The sequence below is a fragment of the Homo sapiens genome, chromosome 16 (genome assembly GCF_000001405.40).
Source record: "Homo sapiens chromosome 16, GRCh38.p14 Primary Assembly".
In the NCBI taxonomy this organism is placed as follows: domain Eukaryota; kingdom Metazoa; phylum Chordata; class Mammalia; order Primates; family Hominidae; genus Homo; species Homo sapiens.
In genome coordinates, this window is record NC_000016.10 from 54,966,728 (window position 1) to 54,980,357 (window position 13,630).

The window sequence follows — 13,630 nt, forward strand, 5'->3', positions numbered from 1 at the left end:
ATGTACAGAAGAGCTGAGCACATGGAGCTCAATATATTTTAGTTATTTTTTCCCATGATCATAATATATCAAGAGCAGAACTCTCTGGAGTTTGGGTTCTTGTGGAAGGAGGCAGGGCGGGGATCCTGGGTACCATTTGTTTTAGTCCAGGCCTCTATTAGAGGCAGAACTACTGTCTGAGACAGCTGTCTCTGCCCCCAGCTTAGAGTGTAACCTTGGGATCCTCATCTGTAACATGAGGGAAATAGGCTCAGTACCCTCTTTGACCTTCCCCTCTGACATTCCGAGGCTCAACTCTGACCACTCCCAGAGGTGGGACTGAGTCTGCCCTGTACTGTGGGGAAGTCACTCAGCCCTTGAGGCTCAAGGTTGGCTGAGGGTCGTCTGTGGGCTTGAAGTCATCCAAGGTAGGATCCTCAACTCCTAGTCAGCTAAGATAAAGGTCCTTGGTAACCAACTGAGAAGAAGCTGGTTAAGAGCAAATAATGGTTCCCATTGTGCTTAGACTATATTTCAATCAGCCAACCCAGCATCCATCCATCTGCAAAAAACCCAAACTTCTAGCACACTGTGTTCCCAGCATGGTGCAAAATTAATTTCTGACAACTCTTTGAAATAGATTTCTTCATTTTATAGATGAGAAAACCAAGAATCTAGGAGGTCAAATGGATTATCCAAGGTCACACAGCTAATGCATGTCAGGATCTCAACTCTTTCCTGTTCTCCATGCCTTCACTGCTTCCCAACCAAGGCCACCACTGTCTCTCATCTGGAAGACATCGATAGCCTCCCCACTGGCCTTTGGGCTTCCACTCTGCCTCCCTCCAATCCATTTTCTACAATAAAGACAGACTGATTAAAAAAAAAAATAGAAACGTCATACCTTGTATGTACCAGGCTGTAACCTAGGTGCTGGGGATACAGCAGTGCAAGGTGTCTTCATGCTACTCTGGCTTCCTGTTGCTCACAGGATAAAATTCAACATACCAAGTGTCTTGACTGCGGTAGGGGCAGTGGGAGTATCCTGCCCTAGGGTCAGGCAATAAGGGTTTTTCTCTGGAGAATGTAAACACAATAATAAAACCAACTAAAAACTGATCTTTCTTTATGATCATCCTGCACCAGCAATTCTACACAATGTTAGTAATAAAATACTCCTCTCTGCTTGACCTGTAAGTGGGTGGCCATATAATTGATCATTACTAATAATTACATCAAGACAATAGGCATAAACAGAGACATCTAAGGCCCTACCTGTAAGGCCCTACCTGTAAGGCCCTATGGAATCTGTCCCTGCCTACCTCTTTAACCTGATATCTTTAAAGTTTCTACCTCATTTAAGCAAAAAGGCCCACTTTTGACTCTATACTCATTTCCAACTTCTCCTTACCTTGGGGCTCTGCCTAAGACCTAAAGGATGGCACTTGTCCAGAGAAGGGGACTGGGCACTGCAGCCAGAGGGAGGGACAAGGCTCAGGGCTTTGTAGCACTTCCCTTGGTTCTCATCCAGGATCTGCAGGCCATGGGAACTAATTAGGGTCTTGGCTGAAATATTGCATCCTCAGAGAGGCCCTGTCTAAGCCCAGAAAACCAGGAAGTCTCTAGTGCATAGTTCTTTCCCTTTATGTCTCTTATGACAATGGTGATTGTTTTGTTACTGGTGTGGTTACTATTTTATGACCCTCTCTTCTAGCAGTCTCTAAGTGCCATGACATTGGAGGCCATGCCTGATTTGCTCATGATTGTACTCCCAACACCTAACACGGTGCCTGGCACATGGTAGACACTCACTAAGCATTGCTGGAATGGATGGATGGATGGATGGATGGATAGACGGATGGATGAATGGTGAAGCTGAGATCCAAATCTAGGCTGACTCAAAAGCCCATGATCTTCCCACCATCTTAATTCCAAGGCTGCCAGCATGGTTGAAAAATCAGATTATATCCAGGCAGGAGGGCCTTCTTGTCAAAGTCAAGGCCAAGATCAATGGGGGAAAGGATCAGGTAAAAGCAAAAGATCCAGATGTGCAAATTCCCTTCAATGAGGCAGATGTGACCCAGTGATTCCATGCCAGGCGTAACCGTTGCATCTGGTTGCTCATTTCCATTAAAGGAATTGTAGCAGGTGCAAAAACCGGAGATTATCCCAAGAATTAAGATATGAAAAGCATGTTAGATCACTAAATTCCAATTAGGGAAATTAAATTGTGCACACTCCCTTCCTGACGCAATATTGGGAGCTTGCATTAGCTCTGGGCTCCGGTTCTAATAAAATTAGAGAATAACACTTTAATTGAATTGTGCTTAAAAGGATCATGCTGACAAATGTGATTGTATCTGGCTGGGATGCACACCTTCTCCAGCAATCATTAAATCCAATGAAATGCCAGTCTCAGGATCCTGACAGTTTTCTGAAACAATCTGTGAACCGTGCTGTATCTTGGAGTATCTAATCAATTTAGAGCCGCCTCATTAGGACTTGGCTGCTAACGGATACTTAAAAATCAAAGCAAATTACTGCACTCCATGGATAACTAGCTAATCATATCGATACAACACGGCTGGACTGTGTTGCAACAATTCATTTCCTCTTTAAGAAGCCACTGTCACCTATAATTTAGGGATTGAGATTCATAAGCCTGATGCAGACAGCTCCGATGTCAAGGATTTTCCCGAGCACAGGGCCAAGGGGTGCACATCACCCCAGCTAATTAGGATAAGCTAAAGCCAGCCTCTGACCCCCATCATTCACACCCTACCTCATTCCCAGATATTGAGCCCAAGACTCTGTTGTGCAAAAGAAGAATCAGAGGTTCCGAGATGGGTAGCAACTTTCCCAAGATCACACAGCAAATGAGTGGCAGGGCCAAGATTTTGCCCTTCTTGACATCACATCAGACTTTCCAATATAATTTCAACAGAAAATTAGAACAGTGATTTTTCTTTCATCGATAGTTTACGTGAGTCCCATTTTAATGATCTTACTAATAATGAACATCACCATCTTCATTATAATACCAATGGCCTATCCTTATACAGAACTTATTAGAAATAGAATTCATTTAATCCTCTCAACATTCCTAGAGGTATGTTCTGTGATTATTGTGATAGGTGTTAATGCTGTCTACTAAATATGTCTGGCTCTCCTGCTCCAGGATACATGGTAGGTCTGTACTTCTTGGCTTCCTGGGGTCAAATTGGCCAGGTGGCTGGTTCTAGCCAAAGAGTTGTGAATTGAAGGACTGTGTGTTATTTACAGGCAGAGCATTTAATTTATGTTTCAAGATCTCTACCATTCTTTTTTCTTCTGCTTCATCAGGCTGAAATATTTGAGTCAGTGGCTGCCCCGAATACAGTAAGCAGAAGCTCCTAGCTAACCAACAATGGTGAAGTGGCATGAATTAAAAGTAAACCTGTGCTTTTGGAAGCCTCTGAGATTTTGGGTTTGTTTGTTATTGCAGCATAACCCAGCTTGTCCCGACTGATGGAATCATCACCCCCATTTTACACATGAGGAAACAAAAGCACACAGACATGAAGTGGCTAGAGCTAGGTCATATTCGGACCTGTTGGTCAATTTCTCCACAGCCCGGATGTCTCTTTGGGCCTGCAGAGTCACAGTGAGTGATGGGTGCTGGGAGCTGCTTTTCAGAGATACAGGTCAGGCGTGTTGAGACCACTTGCCCCTGCCACTCAGCTCATGCTTGGGCAGATGTACTTTTTAATCTGCTCTTTTTTAGGCATGTGAACCACTGGCTGCTCTGAAAAAAGTCCTTTTAATGTCTTCAGAGATAAACTCATCTCATCTTCAAAGATGCGAGTCCATGCTTCACCAAAAGGAGTCTCTTTGATGGAGAAATTCCAGGCACAGGGAAGGCCTAAGCAGGAAGCTACATTCCACAGGGACCTTTCTGCACCCACCCTCCGAGCCTGACTATGCTGGCAGCCATGGGTTTTAGCTATGGATGAGGAAGACTCTGCAGCTATGCTCTCCTGAGAGTGCCGTGCCATTGGCCTTGCAGAACCTCTAAGGTGTTGGCTGCTTGGAGTTCCAGGAGCAGTTTGAGGGGTGGGGTTGGGGGAGGGAATCTGAGACCCCAGAGCTTGAAGAAGGAGTGGAGGAGAAAGTTTGTAGAAATTGTATACAGCTTCAGGAAATGTATACCCTTGGCGAGCCATATCTGAGTCAGTTAAGACAATAATTGCAGGCCTTCCCGACACAGAGAGAGGGCAGGATGGCAGGACCTGCTATTATCATGTTCTCTCAGGCACAACAGCTTGTTTACAGGAGGGCTGTGGACTGCAAAGTGATTGTCTGGTGGCTCCGGAGGCAAAGGCTGCTCCCCACACCCCCTGGTTGGGCCCAAGCCTGGCCATCAACCTCAGTGCTTAATCCTGGGGTGCCCATTGCCAGGATGCTCCAGGGAGCAGCCGCTGGGGTGCAGATGGTTAACCAGGTGCCATTATCAGCTCCCATCCATACCTCAAGTCTTCTCCACCTGCCAGAGGCCCAGAGAAAGCCAGCACTGCCCTGGCCGGGATATTTAGTTGGAAGGCACTTAGGACCTAAAGGCAAGACATCCAAATTCTGGTCTGAACTCACTGCTCACCCACTGTGGGACCCTGGCTGGGTCCTTCCCTATCACATCCTCAGTAGTCTCATTTTAAAATACAAGAGTCCCAGCAGATCAGCGTTTTTCAAGTTCAGATTATATTTCCAACTCTTTGAGGGTGTGTGTGTGTGTGTGTGTGTGTGTGCCTTTCTTGTGGATGCCAAGGTTTGACACAGATTATTTTTATTTTAATGTTACTTCCATATTTATACGTATGTCACAAACAACAGAAAACAATGGTGGCTAATTTAAGCAGAAATCATATTAATGAAAGGATATAGGGTACATTATAGATGGTCCCTGAAGATCACAGAAAAAGAATGGAGGCTTCAGCACATCAAACCACATGGCAGAATGGGTCCTGCAGAGCCTGGTGTGGGGCTGCAGCTGGTGTCAATACCAGCGCTATCTCTACAGATACCACCCAGGCTGCCCCCTAGATACTGCTGCTGGAGTAGGGGTAGCAGCCACCCTGGCAGCCAACCTTCCCTAAAAGGTTTTCACATAGCCTTGCTCTTTTTTCTTTTTCTTTCTCTCTCTCTCTTTCTTTCTCTTTCTTTCTTTCTTTTTCTTTCTTTCTTTCTCTTTCTTTCTTTCTTTCTTTCTTTCTTTCTTTCTTTCTCTCTTTCTTTCTCTCTTTCTTTCTCTCTTTCCTTCCTTCCTTCCTTTCTCTCTCTCTCTTTCTTTCTTTCTCTCTCTTTCCTTTCCTTTCCTTTCCTTCCTTCCTTCCTTCCTTCCTTCCTTCCTTCCTTCCTTCCTTCCTTCCTTCCTTTCTCTCTCTCTCTTTCTTTCTTTCTTTTTTTTGAGATGGAGTCTTGCTGTGTCACCCAGGCTGGAGTGCAGTGGTGCGATCTTGGCTCACTGCAACCTCCGCCTCCCGGGTTCAAGTGATTCTCCTGCCTCAGCCTCCTGAGTAGGTGGGATTACAGGTGCCTTCCACCACATCCAGCTAATTTTTGTACTTTTAGTAGAAACATGTTTTCACCATGTTGGCCAGGCTGGTCTCAAATTCCTGACCTCCAGTGATTCACCCACCTTGGCCTCCCAAAGTGCTGGGATTAGAGGCGTGAGCCACCACACCGAGCCTGGTTTTCTTAGTTTGCTGAAGGCCTGGTTGCCAACTCTGATGGTTTTCAGTCCTCATCCTGCTTGCTTTCTGTGTGCGGGGAACAGTGTCCCTCATTCCTGGGTTCCTCCTTGGCCCCTGCCTGTGCTGCTTTTGCTGGCCACCTCGTTTGGTGTATCCCTGAGAGGTAGCTCCTCTCTGGAGCTCCACCTCCCACCTCAGTGCTCTCCTTGGCCCAAGCCTGGGTATGGGGAGCTCAGTTGTCTGCCAGGACAGCTCCTGATTGCCCCTCCTCTGGCTCCTCTGCCCTGAGCCTATCTGTCTCCATACCCTCCTCCTCAGTATTTCTTGGGTCACGGCATTTCTCTTGCCCCAGTTACCCAATCAGTCCGTGTTCCTCCTCATCATGTTGGGTCAATTCTGCCCTCTAGCTCCCTCAAAGCTCACACCTGGGTCTGTTCCACCACCAGAGATACTTGAAAAAAGGGCTGGGGACCCAGGGTTGAGGAATCAACGTCTCCATACCTAGAAAGGCCACAGTCCACAGTGCAACTCCAAGTGTGCTCCATGGACTGACAGCCCTGCCTCTCCTTTTTCTATCACAAGCTTCCAGTCAAAGTCTGGTGAGAGCACATCTGATTGGTGGATCCAGGTCAAGTGATTGTTTTCTAGCTGCAAGGGAAGATGCGAAAGCATATTCCTGGCATTTCCAGCTTTTCCATTAGGAAGTGGATCCTGATTCATTAGGTGGGGATTCCACAGTCATAGAGGAAGAGAGTTCAAAGGTCATGAGGTCAGCAAGAGTTCCCTACAAGTTACAAATATAAAACTAGCTTATAGCCCTTATAATGCTATAAAATGCAAACATATTGATGAATGAAATATAAATTTTAAAGAAGCAGTAACATTCACTTATTAAAACCACTTATTTAAGATGAACAACACTGTTTTGCTGAAACCAAATCACTACTTGAAGTAAGAATATGATGCTGACTGCTACATCAATGCTCTTCTGAGTTGTGGAAACGTTATGTAATACATTTGCCAATTGGTCTTCATTTGGCACTAAGACTTCTTCCCATATTAAGTTTATCTCTGTTCTTTTCTCCTTAGCCCTTGACAATTATACTTGTACTTTTTGATACCAATATGATTGTAGGCACAAAAGCAGATATGACATTGGAAAGTGTGGTAGTTCTCAGTTATGTGGTCATCCCAGTGGCCCAGAATATTCTGAAATAGTAATAAATGTGAAAACTCTTTACAGTCTCCAAAGTATCCTACGATGTAAGAAATTCTCTCCTGAATAGAAATGCTCCTCCTGAAATGGTAGACATCAGTCTTGCTTCACAGTATTTCCAGATCTTCTTCCTTTCCATATACACAGGGGAATTACATTTCCTTCTCTCTTCAACATCAGGTGTGGTTTTGTGACTTGCCCAGACCAATGACTGTGTCACTTTTGCATGGAAACATTTCTGAGTTGATTCATGATTTTCAACTTCCCCTTCACACTATCATGATGGCTAGTGATATTCCAGGTGGTGTCTCTGCTATCCTAAGTGAATGAAGATGACATGGAACAGAGCCCTTGCCAACATATGATGACATGTAGTATAAGTGAGTGAATAAATCTTTCTTATATTAAACCACTGAGGCTTTTAAAGTTATTCGTTGCGCAGCATGGCCTAGCCTGTCCTGACTGACACACTTAGTAAGGCATGGATTACAATTGCTGTCATCTCCTTTTTATACAACAAATACTTCTTCATAAGCACAGAGAGTTTGAGAACCTTGCTCAAAGTCAGACAACTAGAAAAATTCAGATACAGGACTCCAATTCCCAGTCCAAGTCATTCCAAATCCCATGCTTCTCCTAGCAATTCCCAAAGCTGAGAAGACGGAGTTCCAGCAACCAGCAGCAAGGCTGATCGAAAACATGGTATGTCTTAGTGGCTGGAGTCCATGTATTTCGAGGCACCAGTGTAAGCGATCATTTTGAGTGCCAAACACATTTGTACTACAGAGCTTCCCAACTTTAACAATGGGGCATTCTGAATCTTTGGATTTAAAAAGTCATAGTTCTCAAATTCCCCTCCACTGCCGGGGAGGTTGACATGATGATAGATGCATTTGGAGTGGTTGAGCTTCCGTTCCAAGAAGCACTCTGAGGCCATAAACCTGTTCACAAGAGTGATGTGTGTCCCTGGGTCTGTGGGTGGTCATGCAGTTTTTGAGAGAAGGACTCTACTTTCTGCCTTGAGGGCTCCGCCCACCTTCACTTGAGAAACAAACCTCTCATCTGGAGGCAGAAAATGTGGCTTATAGGACAGGTGGCTCAGGAAAAACACCAGGGCTGATTGCAATGCTCCCAGTCACTCCTCGCAGGATGATATTAGGGGGAAGTAGGCAGAAATTGCATATTTTAACCAACATTTTCTCCAAGGGAAGTAACATTTATTGGGGACTTAGAGCTCAATTCTAGTCACATGTTTTGAGAACCAAGTGCTTCCTATGGGTTCCTGAGCATTTCCAACTTGAGGTTTCTTGCCAAGCCATCTGGGCTGAGAACAGGTATATTAGTCAAAGATCTTCAGAAAAACAGAACCAATGTCCAGATCTACATCCATATATCCGGCTTCTGTTTTCTATATATACGGAGAGAGAGAGAAAGAGAGAGAGAGAGAGATAGAGAGAGAGAGAGATTTACTTTCAGAAATATCGTGAGGCTCACACCTCACAAGATTAGGGTTGGCAAGACTCAAATCATCTGTAGGGCAAGTTGGCAGGCTGCAGATTCAGGTAAAAGTTTTTGTTGCTATCTCGAGTCAGAAGGCTAGTATATTGGTCTGTTCTTACACTGCTATAAAGAACTTCCTGAGACTGGGTAATTTGCAAAGGAAAGAGGTTTAATTGACTCACAGTTCCGCATGCCTGGGGAGGCCTCAGGAAACTTACAATCATGGCAGATGAGGAAGGGGAAGCAAGGACCTTCTTCACATGGCAGCAGGAGAGAGAAGTGCAAGCAGGGGAAATGCCAGATGCTTATAAAACCATTAGATCTCATGAGAACTCATTCACTATCAGGGGAACATCATGGGAAAACCACCCCCATGATCCAATCACTTCCCACCAGGTCTCTCCCTCAACACCTGGGTATTACAATTCAAGATGAGATTTGGGTGGGGACACAAAGCCTAACCATATCAGCTAGAAACTCAGGTGGGATTTCTATGTTGCAGCATTCCTTCTTTGGGGAAATTGCAGGCTTTGTTCTTCAGGCCTTCAACAAATTCCATGAGACCCACCCACATTCGAAAAGGTCGTCTGCTCTAGTTAAAGTCAACTGATTGTAAATGTTGATCATATCTTAAGAATAACTTTACAGCAACATCTAGACTAGTCTTTGACCATACAAAGACTAGGTTACCACAGTCTAGCCAAACTGACACATAAAATTAACCATCATATCAGGATCAATCCTAAAAATGTGCACTGGGGAGAGGCTTATATATGAACAATGAGGCCAGCTAAGGCCTTATGGACCACAACTATATACAAGAAATTCCACTTCCTTTAAAAATTATCAAATTATTTTTATTTTTTTTTCTTTAGTAAAGACAAGGTCTCGCTATGTTGCCCATTCTGGTCTTAAACTTATAAGCTCAAATGATCCCCCTGCCTTGGCCTCCCAAAATGCTGGGATTACAGATGTGAGCTACTGTGCTCACCTTTCCTTTTTTTTTTTTTCTCCCAGAAACGGTGTCGCTCTGTTGCCCAGGCTGGGGTGCAGTGGTGCAATCATAGCTCACTCTAGCCTTAAAACTCCCACCTCAGCCTCCCGAGTAGCTAGGACCACAGGTGTGTGCCAGCACTCCTGGCTATTTTATTTTTATTTTTATTTTTATAGAGATGGGGTCTCACTATATTGCCTAGGCTGATCTCGAACTCTTGGCCTCAACTGAAGATTTCCACTTCTGATGTCTCCAAACTCCTAGCTCCAACTCCAGTTTGGGGCTCTTCTGATGAGTGATAACATTTGATAAAAGTAATAATAAAGATAGCAGATAGCATTTATTAAGGCCTATGCTTTACATACATGCCTCCATCTAACAGAACATCCCTGTGAAGTGGGAACTATTACTATTCCATTTCACAGGTATGAAAACTGAGACAGAGAGAGAGATGCAGTTAGAGCAGTAAGGACTGGAGCCTAAATTCCTCTCACCATCTATTCTTTCCCTCATAAACTTCCTCTGTAGTTCACTGTGGAGGGAGCTGCCAATTCATTTTCTTCATCATGGAGCCAGAAACACCGATGATCTGGAACTGTGTAACCCAACAGATTCTTTCTGTCTGTCTAGGGTACAATTGGCCCCAGGACCCTATGTAACCAGGGTTATTTTAGTTCTTCGCTGGGAAGAAAGCACCTGCCTCTTTGCATCTGCCAGAGCTGTCAGCTCTTCCTTTCTGTCATTTATGCAGCGTCTTACTCATTCAAAACATTTGTTCAGTATCCACTCATTCCAGTGTTAGGATGTAATCATGAATAACAATGTTGATAATGGTGGTGGCGATGCTGCTGCCGCCGCCGCCGCCGCCGCCACTGGTAACGATGATGAGGCAAAGGTGGTGGCGATGGTGATGATGACAGTACAGCCTCCTGGATGGGGTCCGATCAGTGCAAGACTAACACCTCCCTTGCACTAGACATTATGCTTCTTCTACACATACATCCTGTGCTCATGGTCAGGGGAGCTGATTTCCTGCTCCTTGTTAATTTAATGCCCTGGCAACCTGTTAGCATACACAGCTGTAAACAGGCGCCATCACCCTCATTACACCCTGGGAACTTCCATGTCTGTGTCCCCCAGAGCACGGGAGGCCCTATACCACAGCAGGGTAGAAATCAGGGATTCGGTCTCACACTTCAAGGTCTTATCTGCTTGTTACAGGGGCATGAGTGACAATGAGCAGTGGCTACATATATTCATCTCATAAAGGTAGGTTCTTACCCAGTCTCATCTGTGCTAGAGCCCCCTTAAAAGAGAAGCAGAAGTGGGGGCCGTTTCCTCTGGCCTTGCCACCTTATCAGCCTCTGCCAGACCAAAGGCTGGGGACTATGGTAAGTCCTCACTTAGCATTTGTAGGTTCTTGGAAACTGCAACTTTAAGCAAAACCACATATAACAAAACCAATTTTATTATAGGTAGTTGGAGTAATCAAGAGTGAAGTTCCTGGCACATTTCTGGCCACAGAAATATCACCAGACTTCTAAATAAAGACCAAAACATTCCAACATTATACGTTGAAATACATGTGAGCTACACATACACTTAAGAAAGGTTAATACAAACACATGAGATCATAATTTATCCGCTTATTCTTATTTCAGTTCAGGGTAGAGGGTGGCTGGAGCCTATCCCAGCAGCTCAGGGTGCCAGGTAGGAACCCACCCTGGATAGGATGCCATCTCATCCCAGGGTGACTGCTACACGCATCCACACTCACTCACACTGGGACCACACAGACGCACCAGTTCGTGGAACATGTGCAGCTTTGGGGTGTGGGAGGAAACCGGAGTACCTGGAGAAATCCCAGGCAGACGTGGGGAGAACGTGCAGACTCCACACAGACAGAGGCCCCAGCCAGGAATCCATTTTTTTTTCTCATCAACGTTATAACAAAATGACATTGAATGGACCATTATTCGAGGGGCTGCTGAACGGTGAACATGTGCGGCTCTTTAATGAAGGGCCGGCTACGTCTCAGAAAGGTCAAAAAAAGGAGAAATGAGGGTTGTGTAGGATCCCTCGCCTGGTCATTCCCTTGTTCCAGGAAGGCCTCTGAAGACTCAGATATTAGCAGGGATGGCCCCTGCTTTTCCTTCCACCCCATAAAACTGTGGATGATCTTTCTCTGCCTGATTCTCTCTCTCTCTCTCTCTTTTATACCTTTTCACATCTCTCCGTACAAGGCATTTTCAAGCTCTTCAAAATGATGACTACAACAGGTCCTCAAGAAACTCTGATTCCTACAGGCCAAGAGAAAGGGGTTCCACCCACAACTGTTTTCCTGTGTCTCTCATAGAGCCTCCAGCTTTGGCCAGACCCTCAGCTCTCCCAGCTCAGCCATTGCAAGCCCCCAAATGGGCCTTGGGATGGGCTCAAGTCCCATGAGTGAGGGTGAAGGTGGACACTCCATTCCGCTTCCTTCTCCCCATTCAAGAGACACACGCCAAAGTTCTTACTAGGTCACCTCCCAAGCCAGCAGAGCCCACTGCAGTGAGCATCTGGCTTCTTTGGAGACAGCTCAGTGACCCCCATGTAGAGGAGGGACTATTTCTCCTATTTGTGTGGCTTTGCGGCTGCCCACTGGGAAACGACTGCCACCTCCATTCTCCACTCTTATCGTGCTAAGAAGCGTTTCTGCTCTTTCTTCTCCTGCCTGAGGCTGGAGTCTACGACCCCTCCTGATAGGGACAGACACCAGTTCATTCTGCCAGGTATGTTTTCTTGCTTTATTCTCCCTTCTATCCCGTGAGACCAATTTTGTGCATTTGAAGAATCCAGGGCTCAGAGAAGTGAAGTAACTTTTCCAAGATCACCCAGCAAGTAAGCTGGGAGCAAGATTTCCAACCAAATATGCGGATGCTGCATAAGGTAGAGCAGTAGCAATTGTTCCAATAGATAAACCTCAGAATCTCATTGGTTTGACAAAGAAAAAAGTGACCAGTATGTCATGGTCCAGGGACTCAGGCACCTTCTCTCTTGTGGCTCTGTCCTTGGCAACGCTTGATTCCTGATGTCACTCTAGGGTCATTTCCGGTCCAGCCAGCCTGAAGTGGGAAGAGCATACAGGATCACACAGGGAAGGAGTTTCGGGGAGGTTTATATGCACCCCTGACCCTTTCCCTCTAAGGCCAGACCTCTCTTCCTTCCCGAGCAGCCTTAGAACCTTTCAGTAGGCTCCAGGAAGCCTCTACAGACGAACTGAAGCTGACAGCTAAGATGCAACTTTATTGCCTTCTTGATTTGAGTGGTCTCAGTCAACACACATTTCCTGGCTAGTTTGTTTTACCACAGGGAGGGGGAGGAGCGGGGGGGCGGTGGATAGAGGACACCTTAACTGTCAGGAAACATTACGAAAGGCTTTGAAATGGGCAGAAAAAAAAGTTGCTGGGTGTCCTGTTTAGATCACCTTTCTGGATTATCTCCACATTTCCTAGTCTTTGAGCTATTTTATAACTCTGAAAATTGTAGGAAAGCAAAATGCAAACAATTCTCGTCCATGGGAATGCAAAGACATTTTGTTAGGTCAGAATGCAACTGATTGATGCCCTGTGAATAGGTTATTTTTGCATCTATTTGTAACTTCATTTCAGTTTTCTCATTTGCCTGTGTGTGTGTGTTCTTTGAATTCTTTGAATTCTCCTTTGAAGAGATAGTAACATCTTATAGTTGCCTCATTAATTAATGAGTTAAATAAAATCTTTGACACCTGTTCATTTTATATTTGTGTGCGAGTCATGATTTTACTCTTTATATGCATCTTAAAAATCCTTTAACAACTAATAATTCCTAGAGGGAGGAGGAAAACCTATAAAACATCATACTTCCCCGCTTCTCAGGAGCCTCACACCCATCCTGGAAGACAGGCAGGACAAGGACTGCTAGTTCCATTTTGCAGTTAAGGAAGCTGAGACCCAGAGAGGGGACTGCCAGATACCAAAGACAACACTGTGAGAAATGGTGGAACTGAGAATTCAGACCTGGGTGTGTTTGATTCTAAAACCTGTATTCTTAACCACGGTGTCTCATTTCCCAACCAATTCTTCCTTGAGGAAATGGCATATTAGCACAACAGATATCCATACTTTTCCCATTTGGAAAATGACGAAACTGAGGCTCAGATAAGTTAAATGACTTAGAGATAAATCTGGGTCCAGA